The sequence below is a fragment of the Homo sapiens genome, chromosome 6, assembly GCF_000001405.40.
Source record: "Homo sapiens chromosome 6, GRCh38.p14 Primary Assembly".
NCBI classification, from domain to species: Eukaryota; Metazoa; Chordata; class Mammalia; order Primates; family Hominidae; genus Homo; species Homo sapiens.
This window is the reverse complement of record NC_000006.12, coordinates 6,533,689-6,552,553: the sequence shown is the minus strand read 5'-3', so window position 1 is coordinate 6,552,553 and position 18,865 is coordinate 6,533,689. Positions and strand designations below refer to the sequence as shown.

Sequence of the window (18,865 nt, the reverse complement as noted above, 5' to 3'; positions counted from 1 at the left end):
TAGGGTGGAGCTTTCGTGAATGGGATTAGTGTCCCTATAAAAGGAACCCCGGAAACCTCTCGCCCTCTTTTGGCTATGTGAGGGAACTAGGAGAAGTTGGTCATCTGCAACCCACAAGAGAGCCCTACCCAGAACCCAACCATGCTGGCATCCTGACTTCAGACTTCCACACCCCAGAACTGTGAGAAATAAGTTTCTGTTGTTCATGGCAACTACTTTAGGGTTCTTTGTTAAACTAGCCTGAACTAAGACACCCTGTTCACAATCGCCTTAAAGTAAATGTTCTTAACAGCCCAGGGTAACAGAGTGGGTAGAACTCAGCAAAACCCATTGCTCTTATTAGAATCATGGCCTACATATGCTTGGCGATGGGTTTATGATGGTGAATTAGTAAAGGGATTTCCATAAATAGCACATACTAAAATGACACACTATAAGCAAAACAACACAAGGAAATGTGTCAGGATAGGATGCCTTATATTTTAGTAACACACATGCCCAAATCTCAAGGCTTTAAAGCAATAACCATTTATTTTTCAACCACCCAAAGTTCAGTGAATGATGGGTGACTCCTAGTGTAACCTTCCCCCATGTGGTACCTCAACAATTCAAGGTGCTGTCACCACCTCGTGATTCTCCTCAACATAGGAGACTCTCGTCTCAACAATCACCGTGGCTCTGGGGACAGAGCTGAAAAGTTGGGCACTGGCTCTAAAATGCTTTAGCTCAGAATGGACACACATCACTTCGCTCACTGTGTGTTGCCTAGGATAAGTCACATGGCCCTACTCAACTGCAGGAGGTGAGGCATTTGGTGAGCAGTAAGTTCTCTGTTGAGATACCATTTAGCTTCAAAGAGTTAACACAGATTTCAGCGTCACCTAACTACCAATCGTGGCATGGCTGACAGATTGAAATGACACCATCCATGTATCCTTTCAAAACAGTGTTGGTAACCACAACTGCTCACCCAAAGAATAAGTGGACTTAAATTTATGGTAAAGAAAATGGCTAAAGATGATCGCAGTTAGCTTCTTGCTCAGTCAACTCTTCCTTCCATAAATAAATCATACCGCTCAGTGCTGTCAAGCTTTGCTTTACCCTGACAGTAATGACATGTTCTTTTCATTACTATAAATTTGGGTATATAATCAATGTTTTATGAGAAGTGGAAGATTTTAGGGAGTGAGAGTTTTTCTCATTTATGAAGTAAAAAGTTTCTTGAATTTTATATACAATAATTTGTAGAAACATTTGTATTGTATATAAGTTTATATTTATTGAATGTGAGGCATAGGTTTACATGTACATCATTAAAAGCAATTATATAACTCCCTACGTTTTAAAACCTCAAACTGTAGAGCCCTGTCTCCTGCCTCCTTCCAGATCCTCACTCCCTGTTTTAACTGGTCAGCTGTTTTCTTTAGGATACACTTGCAAACATTAAAAGCAAAAAAACACCTAAGCTGTGATTTCTTGATTCTCTCCCAGCTAGGTGTGAACTAATGTGTTGACTTCCTAGATCTCAACTTGCCCTACCTCCCGCACATACCCTCTCCTACTTGACCCATCACCCCAATAAAATTATACTTAATAGCTGGTAAACGAATATTCAGAATTAATATTATTATGACCGTAGAAACATTGTTCACAACACAACCAAGTGGTGTACTGTGATTGTTTCCTTATTTGTAAGACTTTTGTTTTCCCAGAGTTTATAATTGACTTTTTTCCATTTTTATTGCTCTCTTAGTTTGTATCATTATCAATAATTCATTCCCATTTTCCCAGATGCTTTCCTCTCAGTACATTCAGCTCCATTTACCCATTTCATCTTTTAGGAGAGATTCTTTAGAAGGCTTTTGTGGCTTGCCCTACTACCCTCTCCTTTTTACCATCAGGGCTGGAAGATTGCAAACTGCATTTAACAAACCCTCTTCCCACCTGGGTTCCGGTTAGGTCCGCCACCTGGAGGAATTCCCAGCAATTAGAAAGTCTAGAAGATAGAAACCATTATTTTTCTGGTAGGCCCTCTCTTAGCAAATGTCAGTGACTCCCGCTCAGCATAGAAGGTGACTGTTGGCTCCTGCGACCGTGCCAGTGTGTCTTCACTAACAACAGCAGCTATAGGCTCCTGCCTGGGTTGCCAGCACATGACTGCAAAGCCTTGGAGCTGCCGAGCAACAGTGCAGGGACCGGGTTGTATGGGCTCACCTGAGCACTGGATCCTGTAAAAGAGGTAGCAGCTTTCTGCAGTTCAGGATTTCTGGAAACACCACATTTTCCTTGTTTTTCCAGTTTTAATAAGAATTTGGTAACCAGATTTCCTATATGAAATCTCTTCCGCTTTGAAATACCTACAGTGGTGTCTGCTTTCTTCTTTGGAAATGGATGAATCCAGCCATGGCCAGGCCTGCTGCCCTGACACCTTGTCATGGAAGAGCAAGAAATAAAACCTACAAATCACTAGGTTGGTGACTGGTTCCATAATAAATCTCTTTTAGACCAGGATTCTTGGATCACAATACAACGGGAGCCACATTTTAAAAATGTTCTAGTAGCCACATTTTTAAAAAGCAAAAAGAAACTGGTAAACTTAATTTTAATAAAACGTTATTTAACCAAGTAAATCCAAAACATCACTGCAACATGTATTCAACATAATGCAATGATTAATGACGTACTTGACATTGTTTTTTATGTGAAATCTGATGTGTAGTTTACACTGGCAGCACAACTGCATCAAATGAGCCAGATCTAGGTCTGAACAGTCACATGTGGTAAGGCTTCTGTAGAACATGGCTTTAAATCCTCAGGGCTGACAGGGCATCCTCGCCTTCCACCCACTTTAAAACAGCCTGCAAGGCAGTGTGTGACCTATGGCTTTAACTCTGATGAGGAGGATTCCTCATGGCATGGGTTGCTGAGAACCCTGAATCACAAGGTATAAAGCAGGGACCGAAGGACTGTGCCCACTGCAGCAACCCCCCGCTGGGTTTAATGCTCTCCTGTTGCCACCCTGAAATTTTTAAAGACTTTTTACGGGGTCTTGCTCTGTCATCTAGGCTGGAGTGCAGTGACATGATGTCTTATACCTCATCTGGCTGAGACTCACTAGAGAAGGTCACTAGTTAGAACTAGAGAAGGGGCTGGGCACAGTGGCTCAGGCCAGCACTTTGGGAGGCTGAGGCAGGAGGATTGTTTTGAGACCAGGCTGGGCAACACAGTGAGACATTTTCTCTACAAGATAAAAATTAAAAAAATTATCTGGGCGTGGTGACACGTCCCTGTAGTCTCAGTTATTCAGGAGGCTGAGGTGGTAGGATCGTTGAAGTCCAGGAGTTCAAGGCTGCAATGAGCTAGAATTGAACAGAGTGAGACCCTGTTTCTAAAAAAAATTAATAAAGAACTAGAAAAGGTTCACTGCAGCCTTAACTCGTGGGCTCAAACAATCCTTCCCAGTAGCTGAGACTACAGACATGAGCCACCATGCCCGGCTAATTTTTTTTTTTTTTTTTTTTTTTTTTAGAGACAGGGTCTCACTATGTTGCCCAGGCTGGTCTTGAACTCCTGGACTTAAGCCATCCTCCCGCCTCAAGCCAGTCTCCCAAGTAGCTGGAATTACAGGTGCATTGCACTGACCCCAGCTTCTTCAAGATAGAGTCTCCCTCTGTCACCAGACTGGAGTGCAGTGGTGCGATCTCAGCTCACTGCAACCTCTGCCTCCTGGGTTCAAGTGAATCGCCTGCCTCAGCCTCTGGAGTAGCTGGGACTACAGGCGCATCCTACCACGCCCAGCTCATTTTTTGTATTTTTAATAGAGACGGTGTTTCATCATGTTGGCCAGGATGGTCTCGATCTCTTGACCTTGTGATCCATCCGCCTCGGCCTCCCAAAGTGCTGGAATTACAGGTGTGAGCCACCACGCCCAGCCAAAATTCTTAGAGAACTCCACATCATCATTTTTCACTGAGTCTCTCAAATTACGTAGCTGACTTGGCCTCTTGGGCTAATGTTGTAGTTTTCCTTCTTTCTAAAAATTGCCCTTTTGCCTTTTTATTGTACTTTCTGGAAGGCTTCACTAAATTTCTATTCTAACTCTTCTCTTGAAACTTTCATTGTTGCTATCATATTTTTTAATTTCTAATAGGATTTTTCCACCTCCTGAATATTCCTTTTCTTGTGGCATCCTTTTTTCATGTGTGCAATATTTTTTATTCATTCTTCTGAGAATGTTAATGATAGTTTCTTGAAGTTTCCTTTTGCTTCTATTTTGAGTTTTTTTTTCCTGCTTTGTTTGGGCTTCATATTTTATGTTAGAGATAAAAGCAGATGCATTTGGTTTGGAAAGACAAAGGATTTTTCCCTGTTGAAGTAACGTAGAATGAAAAAATAAGGTGATACAAACATTTTAAGGGCAAAAGAGGCAACATTGAGGAAACTCACATGAGGCCAACTTCAACTCTGTAAAGTAGAAGTTGTTTCTCAAATTGTGAGATACTGTAAGGGCAAGAGCTAAAAATTGGAAGGAAACATTTGGAATATCTGCAATGCAGGAATCAACAAATGCTGAAAACTGAGTTGCAGTGAGGGCTCATCTGAAGTCCCACAGCCTAAATTTGCAGCTGGTCCAATTGGCATAGTTTGGTGACATTCTCTAGTTAGTCTTGGCCAGATGGGGTAAAGACAGAAAAGCAACTGCAGGGTGCTGGGCAAGTCAAGGTAAGAGGCAAAGAGTAGAGAGACAGCTGAGGGGTCCGAGGTGCTGGAGCGCCCTGGCGGGAGGCCAGCCACAGGCTGCGGTAGTAAGGGAATAAAAGGACGTCTGAGGGACAGAGGGGCAACTCTGGTGAGGATCAGTGTCCCGGGAATTTTTCAGGCAGTGTGGAGTCTGCTTTCAGTCCTGAAGGAATGCATGAGCTGGTGGAGGCCATGACAGCATAGGAATGTAAAACAGTTCCACATCCTCTTGGAATCAAGAGGCATGCATTCACATCCTGTCTTGGTGGGACCTGGTAAAGTCAGGTAGTCAGGCTGGGAGTCAAAGAGATTGGATTTTTTATGTCCTATGTCTCCCTAGCTTCAAATCCACCCTCTCTAGAATAGATTGCAAAAAGGGGAATTTCCATTACAGCATATAGCATTCGTCCTATGAAGAAACCCCCTCGCTCAGTGACTTACACGAAAAACTGGGGTATAAAACACCCATAACATCTGGCCTGCTGCAGAGCTGGCTTCAGGAACAATTGTGGACCATTACATCACTCTCTCCGGTCTGCAGGCATTGGCGGGTACATGCGGATCATAACCACCAGATGGCGCTGTTGGCCTAAGCTCGAGCACAGTCCACAGCCTGGAGGTCCTGGGAAAGCCTGACCTGAATCTAAAACTTCTCTAAACTCCCTAATTTGATTCAAAAGCAAAACAGTAGAATACTTCTGCACATCCCAGCGAGGTCAGAGTATAGCATCTGCGTGGCCCGTAGGCAAGTCATCGGTGGTTATTTAAAGCCCGAGTTTAAGAAAATGACTTCACAATGCAGAGAAACTGGGGAGCCGGCGCTGGTCCCTCAGTCCCCGACATGGAACGCTCCTGCACCCGCAGCGGAGTGGCTGGCAGCGCCGCATGGAGGTGGCGAGCTCCAGGTCTCACGCAGCGTCTGTCTGTGCAGTGCCCAGATGGCAGGGGCTGTAGAGGCCTCTAGAAACCTGCGGCTCGGCTGCATTTCTCCAACCTGCCATCCGCCCTCACCACCCCAGCTCCAGGCCGCCGCACTTGCTGGCTCTGGCCACCGCCAAAGCCCTAGGGACGGTGCACTCTGGCTGCGCGGTGGCCGCGGGAGCCGGTGGCAAGGGACTAGGTCCTAGGGGGAGAGACTTATTTAGTCTCGCAGGGCCGGCCTCTTTGCATACTCTAGGGGCCCCGGGAGCTCAGCGTGTGCTTCCCACGGTTGTTTTCGAGAATAATGTGGCTTTCAGCCAGGCCAAGCCCCTCGCGGCTGGGCGGTGCGTGAGTTCCCAGGTGCGCGCTTCAGGATCGGAGGCGCCCGCCGGAGCAGGGCGTGCTGGATTCCAACAGTACGTGCTAAGCACAAAGGCCTGAGCCCGAGTGCCGGGGCCTCCATCTCGGTGGACTCCAGTCTCGTGGCCCACTTCCCACGTGCGCCCGGCTCAGGCGCGCGGCTCTCCCGGCGGGCGGGTGCACGGCCTCCCCTCCGCGGCTGCGGCTGCGGTTGCGGTGGCTTCACTGCGGCTGGTTCCTGCCAGGTCATCTGCTTTGCGCCCATCTAGGCCGCGGACAGGCGGAGGCTGATTAATTTTTCATGGCGATTCACCCGGCTGTTCATCCGAAGGCAGCTTCTGGGGCGGGAGCTGTTAAGGACCCGACTGTGCCAGGGGCTGCTCTTCCTCCGGCCGCACTAATTACTGACCTGGGAGGGAGACTCGGGTTTTTCTCCCCAGTGAGCTGTTTTTTTGCCTTTTGGCGTCTTTTGATTTCCCAAGCAAAGCTGGGGGCTGGGAATTCAAGGATGAGGGCCAGGAAAGGCTGAGGGAGGAAGGGCGCCTGTTCAGTTTAATCTTATTTGTGGAAAGCCCCCCCACCCCCAGCTCAGCCTGGAGAAGGAGCTTGGGGATGGTCACATCCTTGTCCCAGGAGCTCGCGGGCTCCTGGGGAGATGGGACTCGCAGAGTGGGGGTGAAAGAGTTGATTGACAGTGTGGGAATGTATGTACCAAGGGCCAGTGTAGTGGGACCCAGTGTAGAGGAGTCGGGGCTCCAAGAACGAGCCAGTGGAGTGAGCGAGGAAAGGTAGTGAAGGAAAATGAAACGAACCGCCGGGTGCGGTGGCTCACGCCTGTAATCCCAACACTTTGGGAGGCTGAGGCGGGTGGATCATTTGAGCTCAGGAGCTGGAGACCAGCCTGGCCAAGGTGGTGAGACCTCATCTCTACTAAAAATACAAGAAGTAGCCGGGCGTGGTTTTGGAGTGGGGGAGGACACTGGGCTCCCAGGGGAACCTGGTGTGAATGTTCCAGGTGTGCTCCTTAACCACCCACACACAGGTGGGCCATATTTCTGGGACTGGTGTTTTAAAGTTTCCCCTTCCCTCCTCCATTACATAAAAATTTGAAAATTTACAGATATGTATAGAGAAATCGCTATGCAGAGGAAAACACTGGGATTTTTGTGTGTGTGTGTGGAGGGAGGGGAGTTCTATCCAGGTGTTTTCCATGTGGATAATTTTTACCTAATTGTATGTTATACATGTACGGCGTACGTAGTGTTATGTTAAACATTGTGTGTTTAGGCATTTAGAAAATATGATTTTTCATTATGAAACTAGTAGATGTTCTTCTCAATTTTTGGAAAATAAGGAAATATATGAAAACAAAAATTAAATATTACCCGGATTCTAAATACATAATAATCCTTTTGGTATGTTTCCTTAAACTATTTTTTTCCTGTGGGTGTTTAATTTAGTTGAGACCATATGCTATTTGCTAATTTCTAAACATGGTCAGTATAGAAACATCGTTAGATAGAAGGCTAAATGAGAGAGGTTTCTTCTTTTTTTTTTTTTGAGACAGTCTCACTCTGTCACCCAGGCTGGAGTGCAATGGTGCGATCTGGGCTCACTGCAACCTCTGCCCCTCCGCCTCCTGGGTTCAAGCAATTCTTCTGCCCCTGCCTCCTGAGTAGCTGGGATTACAGGTGCCCACCACCACGCCTGGCTAATTTTTGTATTTTTAGTAGAGACGGGGTTTCACCATGTTGGTCAGGCTGGTCTCGAACTCCTGACCTCGTGATCTGCCCATCTCAGCCTCCTGAGAGAGGTTTCTTAATCTCAGTGCTTCCCAGGGCTCCATGACACAATGTCTCCCTCTGCACCACTTCACCCCAACACTTGTGGAAGAGCCAGGGAGGGCTTGGAAGAAACACTCTAAAACCACCTCCCAAACCCCTCCTCACAAATAATCCCTGCACCCAGCTGCCCACTGGCCCCTGCCCTCTGGTTGTGGCAAGGGCTTGGGAGCTGTGGGATCCCTTCTCAGCCACCTCTGCAGAACATCCGTGCAGACATTGTTTTGTATATGATCTCAGTCTTTTTAGTGTATTGTTTGAAACGTTAATTTAATTAATGTCCAATTAATTTAATTTAATTTTCACAAAGGAACAAAGGTAGGGCCCACATTGGAGTTATCCTCTGAATCATCGAGTGCAAAAAGAATATGGCTGGCTGGGCTCAGTGGCTCATGCCTGTAATCCCAGCACTTTGGGAGGATCACCTGAGGTCAGGAGTTCGAGACCAGCCTGGCCAACATGGTGAAACCCCGTCTCTACTAAAAATAAAAATACAAAATTAGCTGGTGTATGCCTGTAATCCTAGCTACTTGCGAGGCTGAGGCAGGAGAATTGCTTGAACCTGAAAGGCACAGGTTGCTGTGAGCTGAGATGGCGCCATTGCACTCCAGCCTGGGCAACAAGAGCAAAACTCTGTCTCCGGGGGGGAAAAAAAAAAGAATATGGAACCACATCTACAGAATTTTGAGGATAAAGTGTTTGTGAACCAAACATTTTTGTTCTATGTCAAATTATCTTTCACATTTAAAGCGAAGAGAAAACATGTTCATTATATAAGAAAAATGCCACCTAGTACATTTTTTGAAAAAAACAAAAACAAAAACAAAACCTCAAAAAACTTAAAGGGGATTTCCATTTCTGGCTGTGAGGGAGTATTTTGTACCAGAATAACCCTCCTGCTGAAGAACTGTGAAAACCAAACCAAATAAAATGTAATAGAGTAGTCTGAGAACATCAAAGAGCAGCCAAGGTTGCTGGAATCCAAGGGCCAAGATGTTCGAAAGGAGACAAGTGCATTGAAGTCAGTTCTTTCTTTGCAGCTGTTTTTGTCCCCCGGGAGCATTCGCTGATTCAGGTCCTGTCATGGGGTGTGAAACCCAAACAGAAAGTGGCAGCTCATAGCTTGCCACAGTCAAAAAAATTGGAATTCAGGATACAAAGTTGTCAGGACTTGATGGGCCATGAACACAGAGAAAAGGGAACCAGGGAAAATTGTGTCTTCGTGCGATTTCTCTTCAAACCATTTCCTGATGTCTAAGCTGTGCGTGTGAACAATGCAATGCCCAGAAACCAAACAGAAGCAGCTGCTAAGAGGCTGGAGAGCTAAGCCAAGATGCTGGCACGCTGGTGGTGCTGGGTGGACGTAACTGTCAGTTCAGGCACAAAGGAGCAGGCGCCCTGTAAGTAGCTCAGGTTGTCAGCTGAGACCCAGGAGACCAAGTGGCAAGAGTAAGGGCCAGCAGGTGAGCGGCCTTCAGACAAGAGCAACACAGGCTCTGATGGGCTCGGTTTCTGCTGGGACGTGTGCAGATGGCCTGCATGCAGTCTGTCTTCTGCCACAAGCAAAGAAAGCCTTTCTGGAGGAAGGGAACATATTCCTTGCCACACCATGTTTTGTATTCAATCCATAGTTACTAGGCAAGAACAGGGGAGGAGGCACCAGCTGGCAAGGTGCAGCGCAGGGGAGGTGCTATTGCATCAAGGAAGTAACTGTACTCCCTGAGGAATTTATGGGGTGCTCCGTGGGCCAGATGTGGTCCATGTAGGGGGGAAAGTCAGCCTGAAGGCACTTTAAGACCTTGTCCAGTGGCCAGGATGGAGGAGGTAATGGACTCCTCCTAAGAGTCTGCAAGAAGAACTGCAGGCGGGCTGAGGGGAAGCAGCTGGTTCCATTGGGAGAAAGGCCGTCACCCACTTTGGAAGACAATGGGCAGTTCTTACAAAACCAAACATACTCTTACCACAGGAGCCATCATTCACACTCCTTGACATTTACCCAAAGGAGGTGAAAACTCATGTCCATAGAGAAAATGGCACACAGATGTGTACAGCAGTTTCACTCATAATTGCCAAAGCTTGGAAGCAATCAAGATGTCCTGCAGGGAGTGAATGGATGAAAAAGCTGTGGTACGCCCGTACAATGGAATATTACTCAGCTCTGAAGAAGAAATGAGCTATCAAGTAATGAAAACATATGGAGGAAGCTTAAATGTGTATTACCAAGTGAAAGAGGCAAATCTGAAAAGGCTTCTTCATGCACACTGTATGATTCCAATTGTATGACATTCTGGAAAAGGCAAAACTAGGAAGACAGTAAAAAGATCAGTGGTGCCAGGGATTAGAGGGGAGGGAGGGATAAATGGGTGGAGCACAGAGGATTTGAGGGAACTGAAACCACTCTGTATGATACTATAATGATGGACACATCTCATTATACATTCATCAAAATTTATAGAATGTATAACAGCAAGAGTGAGGTCTAATGTAAACTGTGGGCTTTGAGTGATGATGTGTCAATGTAGGCTCATCAATTGTAACGAATGTACCACACTGGAGGGGATGTTGATATAGGGGGCTGTAAATGTGTGGGGCTGTGCATGTGGCGGTCACCTCCTTGTCTACCTGAATTAAGAGTTATGCCTGTACCTTCTCAATTTTGCTGCAAGCCTAAAACTGCACTAAAAAAAAATTTCTGATTAAAAACAAAAAAAAAGCATCACCCACGTCTCATGCATTGCAATTGGAAAAATCCAACAGGAGAATCTTTGAAGTACCCACAAGGTGTCTATGAGAGAGAGAAGCAGCCAGCCATACTTGTCACAAAGATGGCCCTGCTGTAGTGTGGCTCCTTTTCCCTAATCCCCTCTCCCCTGGTCCTGATTCTGGAGGAGTCAAAGACTACAATTGGCAAGCTGTGGTGGGAAGGGAATGCTGGGAAGACGGGAAAGAGGGAAGAGGGGTAGTACCCATAGTTCTCTTTGCAGGTGGCAGGAGGAGAGGAGATTTAATATTCAATCGAAGGGCTTTGGCTACTGCCAGGGGCTGGATATGTTAGTTTCTGACCTGTGACTGTGTTAGCAACTTAAAGTGACAGTAGAACCTGAGAGTGAGCTGAAATGTCATGACAAGTGTTCAGCTGAGGATCTCCAGGCACCTTGCAGAAACAAACATAAATCATCTCTGGAGGAAAGTATTTCTCTGCAAGCCCCTCCGAATTCCCATGGCTTAAATCCAACCTCATATGAACTCAAAAGTTACCAGCACCCAAGAAAGCAAGAACTCTAATAACTAAGGAACACATCATCTTTTCAAAAGTACATGCAACATTTGCAAAAATTGGCATGCAGTAGTCCTTAAAGCAAGTCCAGAAAAACTTCAAAGAATTACTATCAGAGACACATAACATAGAATTATAATGGGAATACTAATTACCGAAACAGAGGATAAAGTTAAAGAGGTAATTTGAGGAAAATCAAAGTGAATATATGAGAAAAGAAGAAGGATTAAGAATTAGTGAACTACAGAGCCAACTTAAGTTAGGGGAAAAAAGAAAACAGAATAAACTCAAGAAAGCAGCAGGAATGAAAAAACAAAGAAAAGTAGAGAAATAAATGAAATAGTAAACTAAAATACACCAGAGAGATTTGACAATGTCAGAAGTTGTGTTTTGAAATACACTAACAATACAGATAAAACTCCAATGACTTTACTCTATGGAAATGAGAGATGGCACAAGTAAACAATTAGGAATAAAAAAAGGGATATACTCATGAGTACAGAAGACATGATGAAAGAAAATTATATAAAAAGTTACATGCTAGTAATTAGAATGTTTAGATAAAAGGACAAATTTCTAGAAACATCTAACTAGCCAAAACTAGTTCAAGGAAAAAATAGCATAAACAATCCCATAATGATTAATTAAAGGTAAAATTAGTAGTTTAAAATGTTCTCATAAAGAAACCCAGGCCTGGGCAACATGGCAAATCCCCATCTCTACAAAAAACACAAAAATTAGTTGGGTGTGGTGGCACGTGCCTGTGGTTCCAGCTACTTGGGAGGCTGAGGCTGGAGGGATCATTTGAGCCCAGGTGATCAAGGTTGCTCATTCAATTATAATCACACCACTGCACTCCAGCCTGGGTGACAAAGTGAGACCCTATCAAAAGAGAAGAAACCCAGGCCCAGATCCTTGATAGGTGAGTTTTACCAATCTTTCAAGGAAGAGATAATTATACTACAGAAGATCTTCCTGAGAGTTAGAAAAAGAGGGAGTTTATTTTCTGAGGCTACTATCATCTTGATTCCAAAACAAGACAAAAATAATATGAACTTACTTATGAACATTGTCACAATATCTTAAATATTGGTAAATTAAATCCAGCAATGTATGAAAAACATGGTCACATTGGGTTATATTGGGATAAAAATTAGCTTAACAATAGAAAATTATTTTATTGAATTTGTCAATCACCACATTAGAGGAGAAAAGCATTAATACGATGTCAACAGATGCACACAAAGCACTCGATAATGTTCAACATCTATTCATAATTACCATTACTACCAGTGTAATTTGTAAATTCAATGCAAGCTACGATAGGAATAAGTGCAGATTTATAAGCAATGCTAATTCTAAAATGTATGCAGAAAAGCAAATATCCAACAATAACTGAGAAATTCCTGCAGAAGAAAAGGTGCAAGTGGGGATCCTGCCTTATCAGAAATCAAGGTTTAGTATAAAGCTCTAATAATTATTATAATCCAGTATTGGCTCAGATCTACAGAAATATAGACCAATGGAACAGAACTGAGAACCAGAAACAGACCCCATTCATAGAAATATGATTTGCCCAGTGAAGAAAGAATGGGCTGTCCAATAAATGATGTGGAGGTAATTGGCTATTTATGAGGAAAAAAGGAAACTGGATTCCTTCATCACACCATACACCATAATCAATTCCACACGGATTACAGACCTTTACAAAAAAATTAGGAGAATGTCCTTACGTTCTTGCAATAGAAAGGATTTCTTAAACAAGGCATGAAATAAAAGCCATAACAAGAGGATGATATATTTAATCACAGAGAAACAGGGCCAGGTCATGCACAGCCCTGTAGGCTCAAGAAAGGGACTTGGTGGTCATGCTTGGAAAGGCAGTGGAGGGTTTTGAGCAAGAGTATTATGTGTTTTACACTTTTAAGAACCACTTTGGCTTTGTGAATAATAGACTGTAGAAGGCAGGAATTTGGACGACTGAAAGTAGCTAGCAAGAAGTCTCTTACAGCAGCCTAGTCATGAGCTCATGGAGCTTGGATAAGGTGGTTATGGTTGAGACAGACGGAATGGAATCAGTATCTATTTTGTGAGAGGAACTCGTAGAGTAGGCATAGATTTTAACTGAATGAGCTAAATCAAAGATAAGTCAGAAGATTTTTGGCCTGAGCAACTAGGCAGCTGTGATGCTATTTACTGAAATGGAGAATCCAAGGAAGGAACTATTTAAGGGGCCGTGGAGAAAGGATCCAGGAATTGTGTCTTGCCTTTTAGCCAACCAGTCAGCTTGGTAAAGAAGGCATTTAGATACACGAGTACAGAGCTGAGGTCAGGAGTGGAGATACATAAATTTGGAGAGTCATCAGTATATAGATGGTATTTATAGACATAAATTAGGTAATTTGGGACCATGCCACAAAGGATCTATGTGTCAAACAAAAGCATTTACTCAACCTGGAATATTTATGTGCTCAAAAAATATTTGATGATTCAAAGTTTTTGGGACTACTTGTATTAGATTTGTTACTTTCTTACAACGTAATAAACATAAAATTAACACTTTGTCTAGTGGTTCTTATTAATGAATATTAAACTGTCTTAGCATTTGCATTTAGTAATAGAAAACACATCAGACAGAGTTGGGAGAATAGGGTTTTTGTGCTTGCTCTGCTGCTTCTAAGTTATGAGATCTTGAGTAAGTCATTAATCCCTTTTTCTTACAGATTTCTCAAGGGTGTTGGACCAAATGCCTTCTAAGATTCTATGATTACAACGGAAGATGCATTATAAAAAACATTCTTTGTAGCAACATTAGCATTTCCGTTTCGAGGAACTGGCTTTGTTTAAAAAAATAACAAATCACATGGGGTTAGCAGGAGAAAAGGAAATAGAAGAGCTAAATGTTCTGCACTTGCAGTCAGCAGGATTTAGGAATTGAGAGGAGAGAGAGGAGAAAGAGAGGGAACTTAGCAAGATGCTGAGGGGGCAGAAGCTTCACTAGGGTTGGTGTGACCAGCAATCCCATGGCAGGGAGGCGAGCCAAAGTGGTTTTGGAACCAGGTTATACTATCCTCATCTGTTGTTTGCATTGCTATGATGTAAATTTCTTTGATCTTCTCCAACCTCCTGTATAAAGTCTGCCAAGTGGAGTATTGGTGTGAACATGGGCTTTACTTATTGCTTGTTTTCTGAATTTTGTTTGTTTGGGAAGAAAAGCCATTTCCATATCTGGATTGATTTGGTACAGAACAGAAGCAGCCTGTAGAGGACTATGCTAGGATCCACACTGACATCCAATTCAGTAGAAATACAGGCCTGCAGTCAGGGGTAACCATAAAAATGTGAGGCTCCTCTGGGAAACCCCATCCATCATTGATTGGCAGGGTGACAGACTGTCTGCAAATCTTGGTCCTGGCATTTAATCCAAGGAAGTTAAAAGATCAGGGTGACCCTCAGCTCTCACTGGCTCTCATTGGCTCTGTATGCACAAAACTTGTAGATTCTGAGTATTCCACCAGTTCTTCATATAATACTTATGTTGCTATGACAGACTTCTTTGCATTATTTGAGGCAATTCCATCTATGTATTTTTCTACTTCTGATTGGTATTTATATAAAGAGACTCTTAAAACCATTTTTATCTAGTCATTTATATTTTAATCTAGCTTTTAATAGGAATTTGTGGAGAAACAGAACATGAGTTTAAAACAAGCTTGTATTCACAAGTGAGTCACATGCTAAAACAAGATTTCTTTCTTTCTTTCTTCTTTCTTCTTTCTCTTTCTCTTTCTCTCCTTTTCTTTCTTTCTCCTTCCTTCCTCCCCCCTTCCCTTTCCCCCCTTCCCCTCTTTCTGTCTCTCTCTCTTGGAGGGTCTCACCCTGTCACCAAGGCTGGACTGCAGTGGCGTGATCATGGCTCACTGCAGCCTCCACCTTCTGGACTCAAGCAGTCCTCCTACTTCAACCTCCTGAACAGCCGGCACTACAGGTGTGCATCACCACACCTGGCTAGTTTTTTTTTTTTTTTTTTTTTGTATTTTTTGTAGAGATGGGTTTTCCCCATGTTGCCCAGGCTAGTCTCCAGCTCCTGGGCAAGTGATCCTCCTGCTTCAGCCTCCCAAAGTGCTGGGATTATAGGCATGAGCAACCACACCCAGTACAACAGGATATTTCCTAATGCAGAAGAAGGAAGAATTGTATTTATCTTTTTCTTATGCAAGAATTTTTTGTTTGTTTATCTGTACAGGATGACAAGGAACTATTCAGCATGAAGAGGAAAAAAGACAAAAACTAGAATTCATTGGAAAAAGTGTTGGGGGTTAACCTAAGTTTTAAAATTTCCTCTTAGCAATTAGATCTATTGTCCAATTTTCCCCTAATTATTCTAAAATAAAAATTTGAAAACTCATGATTGTTTTTAATTATTTTATTTTTTGAATGTTCAAACAAAATTTATGTATTAAAAATGTAGTGTGGGCTGGGTGTGGTGGCTTACATCTGTAATCCCATCACTTTGGGAGGCTGAGGTGGGTGGATCATGAGGTCAGGAGTTCCAGACCAGCCTGGTCAACATGGTGAAACCCCGTTTCTACTAAAAATACAAAAAATGGCCGGGCGTGGTGGCTCACGCCTGTAATCCCAGCACTTTGGGAGGCCAAGAGGGTTGGATCATGAGGTCAGGAGTTCAAGACCAGCCTGGCCAAGATGGTGAAACCCTGTCTCTACTAAAAATACAAAAATTAGCCAGGCGTGGTAGCACATGCCTGTAATCCCAGCTATTCCGGAGGTTGAGGCAGGAGAGTTGCTTGAACCCGGGAAGTGGAGGTTGCAGTGAGCTGAGATCACGCCACTGCACTCTAGCCTGGGTGACAGAGCAAGACTCTGTCTCAAAAAAAAAAAAAAAAAGAAATTAGCCGGGCTTGGTGGAGTGCGCCTGTAATCCCTGCTACTCTGGAGGCTGAGGCAGGAGAATCTCTTCAACCCGGGAGGCGGAGGTTGCACCATTGCACTCCAGTTTAGGCAACAAGAGCGAAACTCCATCTCAAAAAAAAAAAAATGTAGTGTGATAATTTCATGCTGAGACATTCAGCAGTCAATACAGTTGAAGGATACAGAGCAGCTCCACACTGATACATTGGCGAAATCAGGAAGAGCAAATGCACCACCTGGATCTAAATGTCTGCAGACCATTTCATACATACTCCTTTGAAAACATCACTCTTTCTGAAAAGATCTTGTCAGCTAAGGAAGAGAACGAGTACATATATAATCATAAACACACACTAATCATGACTTTAAAAATTAAACAGTATGGTGGCAACATTCATTATGTAAATTTCTAAAATGTTGCATCTTAGGTTTAGTTGGCAAAGACCATATTTAGAAATAAGGATGAGCTTAGTCTTCCAGGTAGAAATCAGATACACTAAACTGTACAAAAATAGTAGTTTCCTATTGTTTGAAAATACCAGTTTAAGATTGTAAAAATGCATAGATCTTTAATAAAAGAATTGGCTGTGCAAGAGTTCTCCCCTTTCACAGTATTCCTTTTTATTTCAAATGCTAGTTATTGGTTATGCTGTAGGATTTAACTATTACAACAAGAAAAGGCAACTATTTAGGGAAGAGGCAGATACAGGAGAAAGGAATGTATATAAGTCATTTTTTTAAGGTACAATAAGCTTAATAGTGTTTTAGGAAGACAAGATAAAAATTATTTAAAGATAGCTTGGTTCTCACTGAATGAAAACAGTAGACTAAATACTGAGTTCTTTTCTGTGAATCTAGTGATCAATGCCTTGGTCGCCATATTGGTAATCTCTAGGGCAGTCACCTTGGTACTCGCCATGTTAGTCATCTGGGTATTCTGTGTGATAATCACTATCACTGATTTTCAAACCATTTGTTTCTGTTGTGAATGATAGTTTCTGTCAGAGCAGCACAGTATTTGCGACCATATACTTGCCCCCCAAGCCCGTGCACACCCATTCTTTTCTGGGAAGCCACTTTGTTGGTACCCATCTGTAGAGAAATTGTCAAGTGGTCTACTGGCTGTAATGTTAGCTTCTGATAGTAGATGGCCCTTCTGGTGCCTGGTGCTAACATCCCTGCCTGGCTGTCTGCTTTGTTAGTGACCATCTGCAGACAAACTGTGGTCTGGTCAAAACGTTTGTCAGTTTGCATGTTGGGATCATAAAGATGCCTGTAGTCCCGTAAGCTGACATACCTGCCTGGCTGGCACTTCGTTGGTTCCCATCCGCAATCCAATTACAGTTTCAGCAGCTTTTAATTTTCCTTCATCCTAACGTCGTGTTTGTTTTTCTGTATATTTAACCCTGATGTCCGTGGTTGTATCCTTTTGTGCTTGCCAACCTACTAGGGCCACCAGAGTAGCCTGAACTTGGGTCACGTTTCCATCCTAAAAAGATCACTTACTTCAAATATGTCACGTGGCTTCACACCATAAGCCTGAATAGCTTTAATAAAGTTGCCAATATTCTCCGCTGAGGCCAGTTTAATGAGGACTCATTGACTTTCTTCATTGGGCCTGCCTGCAGCTTGTTGATGAGTTCACAGAGGAGGATGCCCTCCTTTAAGCCCAGCTGACCTGTGCTATCCAGTTGTGAAGATCTTTTGTTTGATAATCCTATTTGGAAGCAATCTTGATCCTGACTTCGGCCAAGAGCCCGTAGGAAGGGCCCTAGTTGAAGTCAGCCATGATGGTTCGGGTGGTGGGAAGAGGCTGCACTCGGGGGTCCTGATCTCTCGCGTTTGGGTTTCAGGCTCCTGGCAGAAGGAGTGGCCCCCCGGGGATGCTCAGAGCTGGCTCTCCTGGGCGCGGTGCCTGGACGCCTGGGTCCCACGGGGTTTGCAGGCGCTCCAGGGCCTCTCCGGATCCTGCTGGCTGTCCGCACGGAGGCTCCCTACAAATTCAACTTTTTATTTTGCCTAAAAACACTGCTTTTTTTTTTTTTTTTTTTTTTTTTTTGCGAGAGATGTAAAACTAAAAATATGCTTCCTAGTTACTTCTATTCTATCTGTTAATCTGTGGAATAAGGGCAGTGGAGAGAAGAGCAAAAACTGGCCAGAGGCTGCAAGCCAGCTCAGAGCTGCTCACGTGGGGCAGTCTGGTTTGCAAGAATTCCACCTCAGGGGCTGGAAGGGCTAGGGGCGAGGTCTTTGGAAAGCTGGAGAAGAGGAGAGGTGCCAGAAGACAGAAGGGCAAATGTTGTCTGTTTTCTTTAAAAGAGGGAGAAGGTGGAGTTTGCTAACTTGTACCAGTGAGTTCATCGCGTTTCTCTTTCGCCTAATTTTTGAAAATTGTATTCCACGCGTTTGCCCGCCATTACTTTTTAACCAATCTAATGTGGGTGTTAGCGCAGGGTCTGGGCAGGAGGCCTGTGTTGGACTTTCAGGCCCACTGTGTATTGTCTGTGAGGCTGTGAGCAACGTGACACATTTGCACTTCAGTTTCCCTATTTGTAAAATGGGGATAATAATGTCCCCCACATAGGGCTGTTGCAGGGATTCTGAGAATTAGGAGGAACATATCTGGCAGTGACTAGCACGTTGTAAGCACTATACAATTATTCGTGGAGAAAATCCAGAGATTTTTATTGGATGTTTAGGTGTTCCCCGTTTTGTTTTTTTCTTTCTTTCTATTTTATTTTATTTTTTGGTAAGCATAATGTTCTGATGAACATTTTGTTAAGTTATTTTCTTAAGA

The 18,865-nt window shown here is 43.7% G+C and overlaps 1 long non-coding RNA gene and 1 pseudogene across 1 annotated transcript in view, besides 3 other annotated features; one reads left to right on the top strand and one right to left on the bottom strand.

Annotated features, from left to right (window-relative positions):
* LY86-AS1 (LY86 antisense RNA 1) overlaps window positions 1–18,865 on the top strand; it is a 276,362-nt gene that overhangs the window by 70,273 nt on the left and 187,224 nt on the right. The window lies entirely within an intron of this gene.
* Window positions 5,222–5,271: an enhancer, noted in NCBI's record as "active region_23921". NCBI's record gives its function as "activates an Ori minimal core promoter by ATAC-STARR-seq in GM12878 lymphoblastoid cells {active_cell/tissue: GM12878}" and the evidence as "EXISTENCE:reporter gene assay evidence [ECO:0000049][PMID:35858748]".
* Window positions 5,362–5,411: an enhancer, noted in NCBI's record as "active region_23920". NCBI's record gives its function as "activates an Ori minimal core promoter by ATAC-STARR-seq in GM12878 lymphoblastoid cells {active_cell/tissue: GM12878}" and the evidence as "EXISTENCE:reporter gene assay evidence [ECO:0000049][PMID:35858748]".
* Window positions 5,492–5,551: an enhancer, noted in NCBI's record as "active region_23919". NCBI's record gives its function as "activates an Ori minimal core promoter by ATAC-STARR-seq in GM12878 lymphoblastoid cells {active_cell/tissue: GM12878}" and the evidence as "EXISTENCE:reporter gene assay evidence [ECO:0000049][PMID:35858748]".
* CNN3P1 (calponin 3 pseudogene 1) lies at window positions 16,726–17,974 on the bottom strand (annotated as a pseudogene).